This window comes from Homo sapiens, chromosome 9, assembly GCF_000001405.40.
Source record: "Homo sapiens chromosome 9, GRCh38.p14 Primary Assembly".
Lineage (NCBI taxonomy): Eukaryota > Metazoa > Chordata > Mammalia > Primates > Hominidae > Homo > Homo sapiens.
In genome coordinates, this window is record NC_000009.12 from 95800027 (window position 1) to 95818703 (window position 18677).

Here is an 18677-nt window from a genome sequence, read left to right on the forward strand (position 1 = left end):
ATGAGCCATCAGGGAAATGCAAATCGAAACCACAGGAAGACACGGCTTCACATCCACAGAGATGTCCAAAATCAAAAAGTCAAAGAGTAACATGTGTTGGCAAGGATGTGGAGAAATTGGAATCCTCATACACTGCTGTTGGGAATGTAAAATGGTGCATCCACTTTGGAAAACAGCTTGGCAGTTCCTCAAAAATTTAAGTATAGTGTTATCATTTAACACCGCAAATTCATTCTTTGTTACTATATACCTAAGAGAAATGAAAACATATGTTCTCACAAAAACTTTCACATGAATGTTCATAGCACTATTATAATCAAAGGATAGAAATAAGCCAAGTGTCCATCAACTGATGATTGGATAAGCAATAGTGGTATACCTACACAATAGAAAATTGTTCAGCAACAAGATAAATGAAATACTGATACATGGTTTAACACAAAAGAAACTTAAAAATCATATACTAAGGGAAAGAAGACTATCACAAAAGACCACATATGATTCTATATGAAATGTACAGACTAACTAGCAAATCTATAGAGACAGAAAGTAGATTAGTGGTTGCCTGGGACCAGGTATGAGGAGGAGGGTGGCTGGGAGGGAAGATAGCTAAAGGATCTGAGGTTCCTTTGCAGAATGATAAAAATGTTCTAAAATTGATTGTGGTGATGGGTGCCCAACTCTGGGGATACATGAAAATCCATTGAACTATACACATTATGTAAGTTAATTGTATAATATGTGAATTATATGTTGATAAAACTATTACAATTATATCCTTTTTAATGTTTTACTTAGATGGATATTCAATTCAGTAAACATTTTCAAAAGACTTTATTTAAAAAAAACAAAAACAATGACTAATGTCCTCCAGGACAACTGCACCCACTGACATCCCCCCATCAAATGGGGACACCTGTCCCCTAGACTGATGTTCAGCTGGCAGGTACTAACAGGGGTATACTGGCACTTTATGGCTGGCATCAGTTCTGAGTAGTGGGTGTATATGTTACACCAGTGTTAAAATATTTTTAATTTCTCCCCCACCTTCTGGCCACATCCTGACCTACCTTGGGTATCATCAAATTTTTCATATTTTTGTAAAATTAACTAATTGAAAGTGAGTTGATTGAATTCCTTTACTGATGAGTGAGGTTGAGTATGATTTATCTTTTTAAGCATTGAAACTTTCTTTTCATTAAGGTAATACACATTTGGTTTAAATATTTAATTAGATCATAAGAATTTAAAATGAAGCACAGTTCCTAGTCCCATCTCAGTCCCCATCTCAGTTCCCCACAGGCACCCATGTTACTCTTGTAACATTTTCTGATTTTAGTTCACGTGATTCAAAACATATTCAAATTTACTCAATACCTCTAGATGATATGTACAAACCCCTATTTTTTTATTTATCCCTTTAAGAAGATATCTCTTGACTTCCTGCCGTGATAAGTAAGGATTTAGCTCACTCCTCTCCTGTCTTCCACATACTCATCACTATTTTACCTTTATTGGTTGCTTTATTTCTTTTTCTGTCAGGTACTAACAAAAGGACACTAGAGTCAAGCTCCTCCTTTTGCTGTTTTTCCTTTTTACTTCCCTTGTTGTGTTTTATGTTGTACCTGACAACTTCAGCTTTGTCAAGGCTGATGTTACTTCTGCTCTGAAATGGTCAATTCATCTGTGCTGCGTTATTGCTTTGATTCTAAACACCCAAAACTCAATAAAGTGTTTTTGTGACTATGACCATGTAAATAGCACTCACTGCAGATCCAAGAAATATGCTTGTTCTATTTCCTTTCCTTGTTCCTCCTGGAGCTTCTAATTGCTTATTTTTTCTGGCATCATTGGCTCTACTGCATCTTTAAATTTTTTCCATTTTCGAAAGAATACTATCAAATGTATGGAATCTCTTTTTACAATATCCTTCCTTCCTGGACACCTAGCTCTCCAAGATTGATCATTTCCTGGGTTTGCTGCACAGCTGCATTCAGGAACTTCCCTTTGTCATTCTCCTGGGTTCAACTTACTATGTTTCAGATCCTGCTATTGCTCATCCTTGAGTATGCCTGAGAAAGGTTGTATGAGAGCTACACTTGGTCTGAAAATATATTCTTTTTTCACATTTGATTTATAATTAGGCTGAGTAGTTTCAGATGTTGATATCAGAATGTTCTTATTGCAAGTATTAAAGCTTGGTTCTAAAAAAGGAGGGGTAAGCGGTTTCTGGCTGAAATAACCAAGAAGTCCAAAGTTGTATTGACTTCAGGTAAGGTTTGATCCAGAGGTTCAGAGTCATATGGGCCTTGGTTCCTTTTATTTTTATTTTTTAAGTATTTTCTCCTGTCTCTGCATGGTGGTCAGAGAACATGATTTGCATTTTTAAAAAATAATTTTTGATATTTAGTGAGGTCCATGCACCAAGTATATAATTAATTTTATAAATGTTTCTCGGATTTGGGGAAAAATATATTCTTATAACAAAGAAGTCATTTTTTTCAGATTATGTTAGTACATGTTTTTATATTACATTTTAAAAACTGAGCTTGGGTTATTTGTCTTAACATTGATCTGTTATGTCTTTGCCTGGTATTTGCTCTGTCCTCTCAGCCTACTGGTGGACTCCAGTTGCTGCAATGAAAGCCACTTTAAATTCAAACCACTACCTGAACTATTTATGTGTAAAATCTTTGTATTCCTCTATCTGGAAGAGCCTGGTGCATGGGTGCTCAAAAATATTTGTTAAAAGGATGAATGAATGAAATGGGAAAGCACATCTAATCAAAGCAGTTCAATCCATGCTGCTTCATACATATCTCCATTTATTTCTGCAATTTTCCATTTGTTTTCTTAAAATTCCCATTGGCTATTCAAGGTTCATATCTAATTTTCATTGGAAATTCCTCAGGAGCAGGAATATATTATTGGCTGTATTTTTTGCCTGCTTTTTTAATGCACCCAAGTTCTGACTGTTAATTTTCTAATTAATAGTACACTGATGGAATGATGCTTCCTATCTGTGATTAAATTCAAGGATCTTGAGGAGTGTTAGTTTTCCCAAACTCCCAGAGGAAAAAAAAAATCCTAAAGGCAGTTACCTAGGGGAATGCAGTTGTGCTCACAAACAGCCCGGGGCAGTCTCAGTGGGTGTGGGACCTCTCCTCCTTGGACACCCTGTGGGTACAGAGCATGGGGTCTGGGAGATGGCAAAGGTAAAGTGGGCTCTGTAGTCTGCTCCTCTTAGGAACATCACCAAAGAATCTGGCTTTATGGAAAATTGTCTGGCTTGATCAGTGGAGCAAATCTAGCTTTGCCTGGAGTTTCTCTTTTCCCTAAAATTAAATTTCTATTCAGACTTACGTCAGCAATTTTGTTCTTTTTAAGGACACAGTCCCCTTCAATCTCTCCCCAACCCTAGTGACTTAAGGCATGATTTGAATCTGTCACGCCGTGCTGATATACGGGAGGTTTGGTCTGGCTGTTAATACTGGCAAAGGAATTGAGTTTTCCCCAATAGGATGAACATTCTGCATTTAATGAAAGCAAGATTTTAAAAATTGGCTTCTATTATACAACTTCTAGGTCTTGTAAAATTATACATGTCTTGGGGACCACTTAGATGCTATACAGGGGTGAGTTATTCTCTCCCAAGAAATCTTCTGTGATTACAGTTGAGTTCCAGGTCCAACGGCTTCATATAAAACTTCCTTTAGAGAGACTGGAGGTGGTTACTGCCTTTAGTGGCATTTGCATGTTCAGCGTGACTGAGAACACTCTTGATGGTGTGACTTCATCACAAAGACTTGATCAGGTGTCAATAATTTTTAAATGGCCATGTTTCTTAATGAATTCTCTCTCTGGTTCACTGCATGGAGGTGCTAGTGAGAGGTGAAGCCAGCTGGACTTCTTGGGTCTAGTGGGGACTTGGAGAACTTTTCTGTCTTACAAGAGGATTGTAAAAAGCACCAATCAGTGTTCTGTAGGTATCAAGAGGACTGTAAAATGCACCAATTAGTGCTCTGTAAAATGCACCAATCAGCGCTCTGTAGCTAGCAAGAGGATTGTAAAATGCACCAATCAGTATTCTGTAAAAATGCTCCAATCAGTGCTCTGTAAAATGCACCAATTGGCAGGATCCTAAAAGTAGCCAATCACAGGGAGGATTGAAAAAAGGGTACTCTGATAGGACAAAAACAGAACATGGAGGGTACAAATAAGGGAATAAAATTGGCCACCTCAGCCAGCAGCAGCAACCAGCTCGGGTCTCTTTCTACCCTGGGATCTTTGTTCTTTTGCTGTTCACTATAAACTTTACTACTACTCACTCTTTGGGTCTGTGCCATCTTTAAGAGCTGTAACACTCACTGCAAAGGTTCGTGAGAGGCCATGAACCCACCTGGTAGGAACCAACTCCGGACACAGTACCTACTAGATAGCTCATTTTGCATTATTCTGAAGTGAGAAGAACATTGCTGTGGACCTCGTTCTTAAGTGTATTCTCAAGATTAACACCTCCACACTGGAATGTGAAATTAATCAAAGCAGCCAGGCCAGCACGTTGGGTGTCACTGATGTTTTCCAGGTTGTTTTTCCTTCTTAACCTGAAAAAAATTAGAAAGCTTCTTTGCCCTCCAAATTGTAGGCAACAGAAAAGGTTAGAATACATTGGAAAACTTAGTTTTTAAAAAATTCCACTTTTAGACTGCACCTGTAGTCCAAGCTACTTGGAAGGCTTAGGGTGGAGGATCACTTGAGCCTAGAAGTTCAAGGCCAGCCTGGGCAGCTTAGCAAGACCCCTTCTCTAAAAAATAAGCAAATTCCAAATTCCACTTTTAGGAATTTAATTGACTAATAAACTTACTTTTAAAAAAGTCAAGCTATAAAAGGATCTTCGTTTAGCATTTTTTAATTGAGAAAACAACTGGAAACTACTTATATGTCTATTTATAAAGAGCTATTGAGATATACTGTAGACTATGTGGGATATATTTAGCATCTGACAGAATTGGGTGTCTTATTCCTGTGTATCCTTGTATGCAGCTGTTAAAAAGAATGAAATTGGTCTATTTGTGCTAACATGGGAAGTTCTTCAAGACGTGAAAATGAGGCAGACGAGGCACTATAGGTACTGATTGTATGATCTTCTGTATAAAAAGAAATAGAAAATATGTATGTATATATGTGTGTGTGCATGCATGTTGGTATATAAGAAAAATGTTTTCTGAAAGAGCTCTAAAAAACTGCTAATAATCCGAGTGACAATGACCAGATGAGTACAATATTACTTTTCATTTTACAACTTTCTGTACTTCTTGAATTTTTTGTCATGCAAGGGAATAAATCTTTAAGGCATGTTATCAAAGTTATCTAGGTGGTGGGAGTATGAGACATTGGTATGTTCGTTACAGTTTTAAGCATGAAGAAACACTAGCAAATGTTATTTTTGCAAGGTGCAATTATGAGAATACAGTCCTAACAAAAGCAACAAGGGGGCTAAATTTCAAAATTTAATTGTTTCTTTAAAATAACTTATAAATTGTAAATTGTAAGCTCTTCTAGTCTAATAGAAATGACACTCATGCAAGAACTCTTTCAATTTGATATGTGAAATAGGCTGGCTCTGGGATCCAGTTGAGTTTGGGTATAGAAAGTTGTTTCAGGGCCGGGTGCGGTGGCTCACACCTGGAATCCCAGCACTTTGGGAGGCCGAGGCGGGTGGATCACGAGGTCAGGAGATTGAGACCATCCTAGCTAACATGGTGAAACCCCGTCTCTACTAAAAATACAAAAAATTAGTAGGGCATGGTGGCGGGCGCCTGTAGTCTCAGCTGCTCGGGAGGCTGAGGCAAGAGAATGGCGTGAACCTGGGAGGCAGAGCTTGCAGTGAGCCGAGATCACGCCACTGCACTCCAGCCTGGGTGACAGAGTGAGACTCTGTCTCAAAAAAAAAGAAGGAAAGTTGTTTCAAAGTGTGATAAACTAGAATTAGGACTTTACAAGGCTAAGAGAGAGAAATTTCAAAAAATGTTGATGCATAATGATTTCAGGAGAAAATACATTAAATGTGCATAAACTATAGACAGAATTTATTTCCAAGTGTTTTTCTTTGATTGTACATATTTTTTTCAGAAACTTTTGTGAAGTTTAAAAATTTACTCAAAGATATCATGCTTTGCCACATTTGTAAAGAAATACTGCCAAAAGAGACATTTTAAGATGCTGAATTACAAACGCATACTGCATGTTTTCATGAGGTAGTTGTTCAAGCCATTCTACATTTCCTGCCCTCTACCTGATCATTTTGATTCAATGGTTAAAATTAGTTGAACGCAGCCCTGAGCATTCAAGCAATACACAGTGCCATTTTTTTCTCCCGTAACCTCAGGCCGCACTGCAGATAACGCAAAGCATACACGCTCCACTCAGACTTGTTGATTAACTGATTGATTATAAAGCAGGCTAGAAGTTCATTCTGGTGTATATCACTCCATAAAATTAGTGATCATCTCAAAAGTGATTCTAGTGTGCATTCAACAGGGCCTAGGCAGTAATTCGCACTCAATTTGAGGTTTTTCTCTGATTAAAAATAGACTTTTCTGTCTTCCTTGAAGTTGAATTTCAAAGACAAGTAGCTGTGGTTGGTCTGTAAGAAGGAAGCCAGTCAGTTAGATTTGCATTTGCGACTTAGGAAGGACTTTCGTGCCTGATGGTGAGGGAAAGGGGATGTGGGGGTGTGTTGGACAGGGACAATGGGCTTGCATGAGGCCAATGGTTCTGTAAGTTTTCCAAGAGTTCTAGGATATTCAAAAGCATTTTCTTCCTAGCAAATGATGCCTCAGAGGGTGCCAAGTCTCACCATATTTATTCAGACTACTTGATGTGAGTCACTTTGGGAGACAACTTCCAGGAAGAATATTTTAACAATTTTTTTGTAGGAGTTGACTTTTGCCACAAATGCATTTCAATTAAATATACCCAAATATTTGCTGAGGAAATACCCGGTCAGGTCATAGTGGAGTCTATGCATTTCACACCAACTCCATCACTGGTCATATTACTGAAGTTCTCTCCGTTACATCAGAATGGCGACTCATTAACTTTTATGAATTTTCTGAAAAAGATTTTCCTCTCTCTGGGTTCTTATGAGTCTCTTTGGAAACTTGCTCCTGAATTTTATCCCTCTCTTCAATGCTAGCTTAGTTTTAACACCAGTTCAGATATATTTGAAGTAGGTTGCGGGCTTTTACCCTCCATTGCCTATTTTGGTCGTGATAAACTTAGTATTTCTGTTTGTACCAACTCTTGCCCCAGTCCTATTTCCGTCTGCTGCAAGATGTTGTGGATCTACATCCAAAGTGAGAATTTGTTTGGCCCGATTGTGCTTGTTAAAAGCCCTGAAAGTTGGTGTGTTTATTGTCTTTTGACTTTGGAGACTCCAGGCTCAAGTACCTCCCATGACCTTTCGTTCCTGTGTATCCTTGTATGTAAACAGCTTTGCAGCAGCAAAGCTCCAGCTCTCTGTGACCTTGGCAGCAGGGCAGTGAGCAATGGTTTCCAGAGCAAAGTCTCTTTCTGAATACATTTTGCTCCACATCTCCTGGTCCCAGTAGGGTTGTTTTCAGCACCAGACATGTCATTTCTCCTCCACGTGATCTTATTTTTAGACGAGCATCTTCAAAAGAGCAAGCTGGAAGATAATTTGCATGCATCTTTCCATCATCTTTCATTTCTTGTTTTCACCAAGTATAAAGACTCTCATTTTCTCATGTCTTTGGGGTATGTCTCTATGTTTAGCCTCCTTTCAGGAGAAAGATATTTCTACCTTATTCAAATGGCTTTTGACTTAGATCTTTCTATCTTCTCAAATCCCAACATCCTCATCCTGAATCCTTAGGAAAGGTGCACAGCTGGTTTCTGCCTTCAAACAGCAGTTTTTGAAGAGAAACGTTCCCCTGATTTCCACCCATTGCCTGCCTGCCCTCCAGCTCCCAGCCCAACAGCTGCAGGGCAGACCACGTCTGAGCAGAGACCCGGCAGGGACTCCAGAAGGGGAAAGACCTTGTGCTTGGGGTCAGGGCAAGACCCAGAGGACATCTACCTTTCTGAACACCATGGCCCCTTCAGTAGGATGCCTTTGCAGTCTGAATGTGGCTTCCTGGGAACTATTTAAAACCTTTGCCTTGGGCCATTCTGGCTTTTTGCCCAGAAAAAAATGCAGATTAAGGGAAGAAGTCCAGAATGCAGCAAATAATACTTCAGTATTGTCCCATTTAAGCATGTGTTTTCCCAGTATAGGATTGTTCACTAATCATGTCTAACCATGGACAGTCCTCATCTGTCCATAGTCTCACAAGACTACAAGGTCCGCCTGCCCCAGTAAATGTTTGTGGGACTTAGAATCTCAAGAAGAAAAAGTATGAAATATATAAGTGGCAAAGTTAACAGAGTTTACAGGAAGAGATCAACACTGGCTAACAGGAGTTGGGGAGGCATTTTATACATGAGGATGGGATAGCTGAAGGGTGGTGAGAGTTTGTGAATAGAGGAGGGCAACCTAGGTTTCATGAGCCAAGGTGTAAATTGGTGGGCAAGCTCTTGGGGATAGAAAGAGCAAAGGCCTGGCCTGAATGGAGGGTTTGTGTGAGGGAACATGGGAAAATCATGTCTAATCCCAGAGTTGTCAGATTCGCAACATATTGACAGTGGTTTCTATTCTCTGTCTCCTTTTAATTCTCTTGCATTTAATATTTAGATGGGATGACTTTTGTCTGACTGCATTTCCCAAACCTCCCCGCTTCCAACCACATAAATCAAAGCAAGATTAGATTTTGGATTTACTTTTCTGTATGTTCGGCCACTAGAATCCTCTAGATTTTTCACACATAGGAGTTAAACCCAGGGATTGTCCATAGCCATGCCACAGATCACTGGGGGCATGAAAGACTCTTCTAGAACCTGAGCCTGCCCAAAGCCAAGTCCAGTAGCAGACACCATGTAAATGACAAATGAATATCTAGAATAATCAGGTTAGGTTTGCCTTGCTATCATTATCATATATCATATTCCCAATTTCTACAGCTGGATCATTTATCTTTTATGATCAATCACTGCACTAAACCAATGTGTTGATAATCATTTTTTTCAGGTATCTTTACTGTTCAGATTGTTGGAACATGTAACCAGCAAGAATATGAGGCATCATTTACTTTCTTAATCTCTGGGCTTATTTAGCCATTCACAAATATCAGGCTCTTTTAAAAAATATTGGTAGCCTCTAGCAGTTAGAAGGAGGTGAAGGTCTAGGTCCTTTCCCTCCCACTACCTCACCAGGACTTGTTTTTAAATGAAAGCAAGTCTCAGACCAAATTCTGCCTCATACACACGAACATTTATTGGGAGGTAAGTACAAAAATAGCCATGCAACCTCCTCCTCTCATTCTCTTGTCTTTTTAGGTACTTTGGAAAGCATCTTGCAGGAAATATTTACTTTGTTGTGGTCACAACAAAATTTTAACATCAGAGTAGGTGACAGAGATGACATAGGTGGCTCTCCATTAGGTGGGGACCATAGGACAGAATTCTATCCATAAAGAGAGAGAGATTCTGTCACTCCAAAGGTGGTCAGCTGCTGGGTTTGCCAGATCAAGGGAGGAGGTGCCAGTGGAAGTCTCTTCAGCCAACTACATGCCTTAGCATCACTCATTTCTTCAAAGAAAATTTCCTTCTAACAACCCCTGTGATAACAAATAAACCCTCTAGGGCAGATGGAGAAGGACTATTTAAAACCTTTGCCTTGGGCCATTCTGGAACCTAAATTAAGATTAGGGTTTGTGAGTCAACTACTTAAACTCACACAGTTTTTCCTCTGCTCTTACGTAAAAAAAAAAAAAAAAAAAATAGTGAACACAGAAGACTTCAGTGACAAAATGTGGGGGTTTCCCCAGACACCAAGCAGAAGACACAAGCTGAGTGTCTAATTCAATTCAATTCTGTGGCTCATGCCTGTAATCCCAACACTTTGCGGGAGGATTGCTTGGGGCCAGGAGTGTGAGACTAGCCTAGCCAACATGGAGAAACTCTATCTCTACTAAAAAATACAAAACTTAGTCAGGCGTGATGGCATGCACCTGCAATCCCTGCTATTTGAGAGGCTGAGGCAGGAGAATCGCTTGAACCTGGAAGGCAGAGGTTGCAGTGAGCCAAGATCAAGCCACTGCACTCCAGCTTGGACGACAGAGTGAAACTCTGTCTCAAAAAAAAAAAAAAAAAAATTCAGAGGCTATCTACCTGTAGATGGCCTCAGATCCCACAGGTTAAGGGCTCAGTACCCTAAACTGATCTCCCTTTCAGACACCAGTCACAAGTTGGGGCCCCTGGAACATCTGCCCAACTGACTTCAAATTGGGGCTCCCACCACCCACTCTTTGGGTTTGATTAATTTACTAGAGTGGCTCACAGAAGTCAGGGAAACATAGGTTTACTGGTTTATTATAAAGGGTATTACAAAGGATATAGATGAAGAGATGCTTAGAGGGAGATACGGGGGAAGGGGTAGGGAGCTTCCATGCCCTCTCCGGGTGTGCCACCCTCTAGGAAGCTCCGTGTGTTCAGCTATGCAGAAGCTCTCCAAACCCTGTCCTTTTGGGTTTTTATGGAGGCTTCATTCTGTAGGCAGGATTGATTACATCATTGGCCATTGGTGGTCAACAACCTTTCCACCCTCTCTGGTTCCTGGAGGTGGGAGTAGGGGGCTAAGAGTCCCGACCCTCTAATGCTGCCTTGGTCTTTCCTGTGACCAGTCCCTGTCCTGAAGCTACATAGAGGCTGTCAGCCACTAGTCAACTCATAAGCATACAAAAAGACACTATCACTTTGGAGATTATAAGGATTTTAGGAGTTGTATGTCAGAAAATGGAGTCAAAGACCAAATATATATTTGACAAAATCACAGGGTTCTTGACATGTTAACCAACAAATGCTGACTAATCACCCTGAGGCACAGATGAAAGCAGGGTAGTTATCATCTGGTTTGCCTATATTTTAGGTTCTTCTCCCTGTAATCTTCAAAAGCTGTCCTAAGCCACCTTGAGTAAAAACCTAGCCCAGGTTACACAGTATGCTGCTGTACTCCTGCCACTTCCCTGCTGGGCCCCTGGCACCTCCCAGCCCCTCTGTCATCATAATGAGAGCACCACTATTGGATTTCTCCTAAAAAGAAATGTAAGAGCCACACGCTGGAATCCAAATTCAAACGACTGATTTCCCAGAGACCCAGAGGCAGCTCCTTGGATCCACACAGAGTAGATGCTGTGAAGCAACATCTCAGGAATGAAAAATGTGTTCCCTGAGCTGCCAGGAGTTCTGCAGGGGCAGGCCTCACTTGTCAGGCCTCTCCAGAATTGCCCAGGCTGAACACAACAACTTCACCTGAGATGACACCCCCAAGCTGTGAGTTCTTGGAGCAGTCACATTGAAAGACTCACCAATACTGGGCCCCCTTGCCACAACACTTCTGAAGTTTGATCTCAGCTCCAGAACACCCACCTTCTTCCCTGCTCAATCCTGCTTCTTTCTCGTTGCTCACAGATGTTGATCCCAAGAGTACTCCCCAATAAACCTCCTATGCACTAATCCCCATCTATGGGTCTGCTTCATACCTTCTTTTGGAACCATTTACTCTAAAACCATAGGCTTGCAGGGATGCCCACTCATCTTTGCAGCATGTGCAGTATAACCATCCTAGAAAAGTTGCTGGGAGCATCCTGATCTGGAGGGACCCAAGGTATGGCACCAAGCAGGTGTGGACTCTCTGGGGTCCAGTCCATCAGCACCGCCTCTTCTGTGGATGCCTGCATTCTGCTTCAGGACCCTGGTGTCTGGGTTTTGATTGTGTCCTCAATTGTACAAAAGATGATTTTTAAGAACCATGTCTTATATTTAGTTTTCATTTGTATTGAAGTTGTATATGCACCTAGTTGAAAGAATCAAATGATTCTGCAAAGCTGATGTGACAGAGACTGCTGGTTGAGCACTAGCATCATTCCTCACCTTCTTTAATATCAGGGCTCCAGTGTCTTAGCTGAGCACGTGGCTAACAGCTAGACCCTATGCTTCCCAGCCTCCCATGCAGCTGTGGTCCTTATGCCCACATCCTGACCGATGGATGTGTGGCCCTTCTGGGGCATGTTCCTATCAGTTATGCACATGTGCTCTCCTGACCCTGTCCTCCTTCCCTCTGGCTGGGAAGACAAAACTAGAATGGCTGCCTTAGTCCCACAGGTGGAAGCTACGTTTTGAGGATCATAAAGGTGACTTTCCAACCCAGATTGCTTCTCTTGAGATCATATCAAACAGAGAAACTTATACCTACCTCATTTAAGCTTCTGTATTTTGGTGTCTTTTTGCTAAAGCAGCTTAGCCTGTAATTTCATCCATATTGCTTGTTTAAACAAACAAACATACAAACAAACAGTCTTCTCCATCCTCTTTTCTTTTTCCCAGAAGCACCACCATATGTTTAAATATTACATTTCTATTGATATTTCATGTTTAGGCATTATCTATTTGAGTTTCCAATTTGGAAGATGAATATTTCACTGTCTCCTTCTCTCCCACCTTCACCTCAGCCTCCCTTCTCCCATGCATACTCAGCACCCACTCCTCCATATTCCAAAAATACTTATGTTGTAGTTTTGGATAGATCAATAGATATTTAGTATTTATACAATCATGATACTGCAAGTGGTATATAAAACAGTGTACGAGCCAGGCGCGGTGGCTCACGCCTGTAATCCCAGCACTTTGGGAGCCTGAGGCAGGCAGATCACAAGGTCAGGAGATCGAGACCATCCTGGCTAACACGGTGAAACCCCATCTGTACTAAAATTACAAAAAATTAGCCGGGCGTGGTGGCAGCCACCTGTAGTACCAGCTACTCGGGAGGCTGAGGCAGGAGAATGGCGTGAGCCTGGGAGGCGGAGCTTGCAGTGAGCTGAGATCACGCCACTGCACTCCAACCTGGGTGACAGAGCGAGACTCTGTCTCAAAAAAAAAAAAAGTTACGATGGATGTTTTGACTTTCTTGAATAACATTTTGTTTTCCCTTTGAACTTTTATTCTTTATATTTCCTTAGCATCCCATTTGCTTGCTATTAATTCAACCCTAAACAGTGTCCCTATTGTGTGATCTCTCAATATATTCAAACACACTGGGGATATCATTAGCTTCATCTGTTTGAAGAAATCTTCCTAGGGCTTTTTTTTTTTTTTTTTTTTTTTGAGACAGAGTTTCACTCTTGTTGCCCAGACTGGAGTGCAATGGCACAATCTCAGCTCACCACAACCTCTGCCTCTCGGGTTCGAGTGATTCTCCTGCCTCAGCCTCCCGAGTAACTGGGATTACAGGCATGCACCACCATGCCCAGCTAATTTTGTATTTTTAGTAGAGATGGGATTTCTCCATGTTGGTCAGGCTGGTCTTGAACTCGTGACCTCAGGTGATCCATCCGCCTTGGCCTCCCAAAGTGCTGGGATTACAGGCGAGAGCCACCGCGCCCAGCCCCTAGGGCTGAGTATGGTTCCCTCTGGATTGGCTGCTCACTAAGCCTGATGAGTGTGTGTCCCATCTGCCATCTTATAACTGGATATGAGTCTTGGTTCTGTGTCTTCTGATTGCCATGCAAGTCTTGCTGCCTTCAACAGCTGCAAAGGCTGCTGTGGCTACATGACATAGCATGTTTCCTTAGTCTCAATGGAGAGGACTCTATGTGGAAGTATTCTCTTGGTGAAGGGCTTCTCCTGAGAGCATTAGCAACCTTCTGCACAATGAAGGGATTGGAAGTCTCCAAGCTGGATGAATTTCCTCATTCTGGGATTTCAAACTTCAAACTCTTCCTGGTGGGCAGAAAAATGGACACTTAGTTAACAGCCTTTTCAAAAACATGAATTCAAGATATTACTGTTTAATTGCTTCAATTCAATATTCTCTTGACTACATCATTACACATGGACACTAGTCAATCTTCAATTTGACAGAATCCTCAAATATCTTGGGTATGGCACTGATGCATAATCCTTTGGTCCTTGTCCAAGTACTGGTTTAGGTATAACTTATCAAGAATGCCTGGAATCTAAACAGCCAAGTTTAGAGCTTAAACAGAGCCTCCTTCCTCAATGTCCTTCACTGCCAACTAGCCAGAGCACCCCCCAGCTGCTGGGGGGCTCTGAGAAGACCACTTTCTTTGGTGTATTTTATTACAGGCTAAACAACACCCCTAAACAACAACAGAAACTCTCTGAGGTTTCCCAATGCCTTCAAGTGGCTCTGGGAAGGCATTGGAAGGCTTTGGATGAAATTACAGGCTAAGCTGCTTTAGCAAAAAGACACACAAAATACAGAAGATTAAACTATGCAGGGAGTCTGGGAGAAAAGTTAAAGAGAGGAAACTGGTCAACAATTGTCAACCTTATCTTCTCTTCAATTATCTTTCCTAAATTCCGGTATGATTTTGGTTGCTTGAACAATCAGCGTGGTCTGATGAGAGCTTATCAGCTGCGAGTAGCAGGAGAAAGAAGTGAAGATAATTATTTCCCACTTGGAGCTGAATAAAGTGAAGCTAAACCACTAAATGCAGCTCCCTAAACACACACACACACACACACACACACACACACACACACACAGAGCAATACACAAACTCAAAGCTTGATAATTTTAGTCTGGCTATTGATATTTCAAAATTGCATGGGAGAAAATTGTTATGAGTTGAATTCCAGTTGGTTTCAAAGGCATTTCTAAATTTGTGCTTTTATACCTGCAGTCATTACCTCACGTTTCTGAACGTCTTCTACAGAGCCTATGCCAGGCGCTGCTGGCTACATACACAGGTCACTAACAACAAAGCAAGGTGGGATACATTAAATAGCCAATGGGATGGGAGAGGAGGAGATGGGACTTTATCCGCATTTTAAAGAAAATATACAATGCCAAGGAGGGGCAAGCAGTCCCTGCAAGGGGAGCGGCATGAACGTGGGGAGCAGGGGAAAAGACGGGCCTGGCATGAATCTGGCACACTCAGAGAGCAATGAGTTTGTGTAGCGCAGCGGATTCAGGTATAGGAGTAATAACGGCCCCTGTGAGGCGGTAAATGGACTCTAAATTTCGGTTGAGCATCAATGCCGACTTAAAGGATTCGCACATCTTGAAGGCATTGGGAAACCTCGAAGGGTTTCTGTTGTTGTTTAGGGGTGTGGTTTGGTTGGGGAGAGAAGGAAATGTGATATATACAAGACGCTGCTTTGGGATGAGTCATCTGACCGTGGTGTACAATGGATCAGAATGGAGAGAGAGTGGGAGTGTTCGGATTGTTGCGGAGGCAGGGTGAGGAGCTGGGAGCCTGCGCTAAGGCTACCCATGACCTACAGGCTGTGCGAGCCACGCTGTTTCCCATCTTGTCTCCGTTCATCTTCCTCGTGCCCTATGAAGTCGGTATCCGGCTCCATCTTACAGACCAGGAAACTAAGAGCAGGCAAGGTCCAAGGCCACATAACAGGTAAACGCACAAGTGGGACTGGAACTCATTTTTTTGTCTTGACTTCGAAGTCCATGTTCTTTCTACTATGACACATCAGCCTCTTTTTTTAAAAAATGGTTAATAATAGCGGTGACAGAGGACGTGGGAGGGACCCTATTTGGAAATGAGTTATCTATCCTTGCAGACTCAGCGTCCTTACATTGCACCACGACAGCATGAATAAGTCCATATCCTATTACTTCCCACTTGGTACTTAGGGAGTAAAAACCATTCCATGCTGTAAGAGTCTCTCTGAGTGCTAAGTCTTGTGATCGCGGTGAGATGGAAAGTGAGTAGCCAAACATGTTTCAGGTTTGTGGGAAATTGCAAAGGACAAGACAGAAATCATAAAGACGCAATTGAATTACACTGTGTCGTGGCCCCTGGGATAACAGCTGTTTTCCAGGTCTACAATCGTTCTCATTAGTAAATTAAAAACTCGAAGCTCCCCATCCGCGGCCTTGCGCTGCTAGGCCACGTGGTGACAGGAAGCCCTGTGTTTGTACAGGTGGGGGAGCGAGCAGGCTTGCAAAGTGGGTGGCGGGAAGCTCTGCCTGGAGCACAGGTGGGGAATCCGAGCAAAAGCAGACCCCGGCAGAGGCCCGTGTGTTCCGGCGCTGTCAGCTCCCCTCTGCAGAGGGTGGCGTGGAAGGCAGCCCTCCTTAGGCCGCTGGGTCAGCTCAGGGCCAGATTCAGGGAATGGTGGCTGGGCTCTCTCTCCACCTAGGAATGCGGAAGGATTTGGTCCCCTGCAAGGCCAGTTCCTCCTTCCGAGCAAGTACCAAAAAATTACCTCCAGCATGATACCTCTGTACACAGCTAAAAGCAACCCAAACTAAACAACATGCCTTTTGAGAACACAGGGAGGAATGTCATCTATTTCAAAAAGGACAAGGGTTTTAAAGCAAAGGGAAAAAGCATCACGAGACCCAGGAAAGGGACTACCTCCAGTTCCGGGTTTGGGGAGGTAGGAGCCAGGATGGGGGCACCTTGCCGATGGAGGCACGGTGTTGTCAGGGTTCTGGTTTCCAGGTTGCCTGGTGAGTCCATGGGAGTTGATACAATTATTAAAAAAAAAAATTCTCCATAGAAAACGTAGAGGGGCGTGCATGGACCAACGGGGAGAGTATGTCAAGAACCAAAGATTATTATTAATCCATTTCTGTTCACCCAGGTGCAAAAAGACAGACTGGAGGGAGATGTATGCCAGGACCCCTGACCGGCCCTCTTAGCTTGCTGGAGGGGCTGGGTGCAGCTCACTGACCTGGCCTTCACCATCTGCTGCCTGCTTGGCTGTGGAGCCACTGATGCCCACGTGTAGAGGGCACAGACCTAGACAGAAATTGCTCATTGAAATGAGTAATGCTAGAAAAATTCACTTGAACATGGAGAACGGTAATAAATATCTAACTCTATTGGGCATGTAGATGTCAATGATCATTTCGTCTATTAAAGGACATTTAATATCAAATAGAAAGTCAGAAAACTTAAATTTGGGAGCCTGACCTACAACAAAGCAGCCTTGTAATCTCAAGAAATTAATTTTCTCCCCCAGAGGCAGAATCATCCAGGTATACCTTTTATGGTTTCTTTTCCCTTCTTTTCTTCCCTTTTCCTGCACTTCCCTCCCCTCTACTGTCTTTTTCTCCTTTTCTTTCCTCTCTGCTCCATTCCATTTTGTTTTATTTTACTTTCTTTCCTAACCTGAAACATCGTTTCCACTCTGAAAGAACACAAAATGTTTAGAGTTTAGGCTACATGACCTCAGAGACACCTTTGGCACTAACATTCCTGCCCTGCGTGGGCCGGGGCAGGGCCCTGGGACCTGTAGTCAGGACACCAGGCAGCTGCCGCCCTCTCCAGCTGAGACTGTCCAGCTCAGAGCCATCTGGGGGGTTATTCGGATATTTCCCGTGCCTTATCTTGTTTCTCTCTTTTTCCTTTTTTCTTTCTTTCTTCTTTTTCTTTTCTTGGAAGAGAGAAACAGGCATGAGCCTCCATGCATGACTTCTCTCTTCATAGTTAAAAAAAAAATCTCAACTTTTCCATACCTTGAAATGTTTAAAACACAGAACTAGAGTCATAGAAAACCAGGAGAAGAGAAAGAGAGAGAAAAAAAAAAAAGGCAAAGAGATTAAGATAAATGTGACTTTATGGTAGTCTGAGAAAAGCCAATTGACCACAATTAAAATAAAACAATGTATCTTTAAATGTGTGCTCTGAACTTCTCTCACAGCCAAATTCATAGGATTAAAACGTGCTCCTGGTGAGATGTCACCATTCATGCTATGGCTGGGAGGTAAAAATTAACTCAACAAAAATGTATTGAGGAACATCTACGTCCCTGTGTTAGGCCCCGGAAAAAAGAAATTAACAAGTCAGACAATGTCCCTGCCCTCAAGGACCTTACATGGGGAAAACAAGAACCAACTTTAAATTAATAACTATAGAACATCAAGCCAGGCTGAGACAGGTGGCACTTAACAAAGGAGATGGCCATGGGAGCTGAGGGGCATTGACACCATGACATAGTGGTCAGAGAAGTTTTCTCTTCTGGGGAGACATTGGGTTTTTTGTTCGTTTGTTTTTGTTTTATGTTTTGTTTTTGAGACAGGGTCTTGCTCTGTCGCCCAGGCTGGAGTGCTATGACCCAGTCATAGCTCACTGTAGCCTTGACCTCCTGGGCTCAAGCGATCCTCCGTTTCAGCCTCCCATGTAGCTGGGATGACAGGACTGTGCTACCACACTCCACTACTAAAAAAAATATATAACTATATATATAATATATACATATAAATATATATATATTTTTTAGAGTTGGGGTCTCACTATGTTGCCCAGGCTGGTCTTGAACTCCTGGGCTCAAGGGATCCTCCCGCCTCAGCCTCCCAAAGTTCTGGGATTACAGAATGATCTGTGGCTCCCAGCTGCTGGCGAGACAGTTGACCTGAGCCCTGAGTGAACGAGAGAAGCAGCTAGGTACACATCTCTTGAATGAGCTTCCTTGGCAGAGGGAACGGGCTGCCCACTGCCCAACCCCTGAGGGAGCTGAGATGTGCCTGGCCTGACTGAGGATCAGTGGAGGCCTATGTGGCTGGAGTC

The 18677-nt window shown here is 42.3% G+C and overlaps 2 long non-coding RNA genes across 2 annotated transcripts in view; one reads left to right on the top strand and one right to left on the bottom strand.

The window, feature by feature from the left end:
• Positions 1-6061: 6061 nt before the first annotated feature.
• Positions 6062-18677, bottom strand: part of ERCC6L2-AS1 (ERCC6L2 antisense RNA 1) — a 69890-nt gene continuing 57274 nt past the window's right edge. Inside the window, exon 3 of the long non-coding RNA NR_023390.1 lies at positions 6062-13896. This is a non-coding gene — a long non-coding RNA (ERCC6L2 antisense RNA 1). The remainder of the gene's footprint in view (positions 13897-18677) is intronic.
• Positions 15313-16995, top strand: LOC107987103 (uncharacterized). Its single transcript, XR_001746851.2, has 2 exons — positions 15313-15554; positions 16750-16995. It is a non-coding gene; the product is annotated as an uncharacterized LOC107987103 (long non-coding RNA).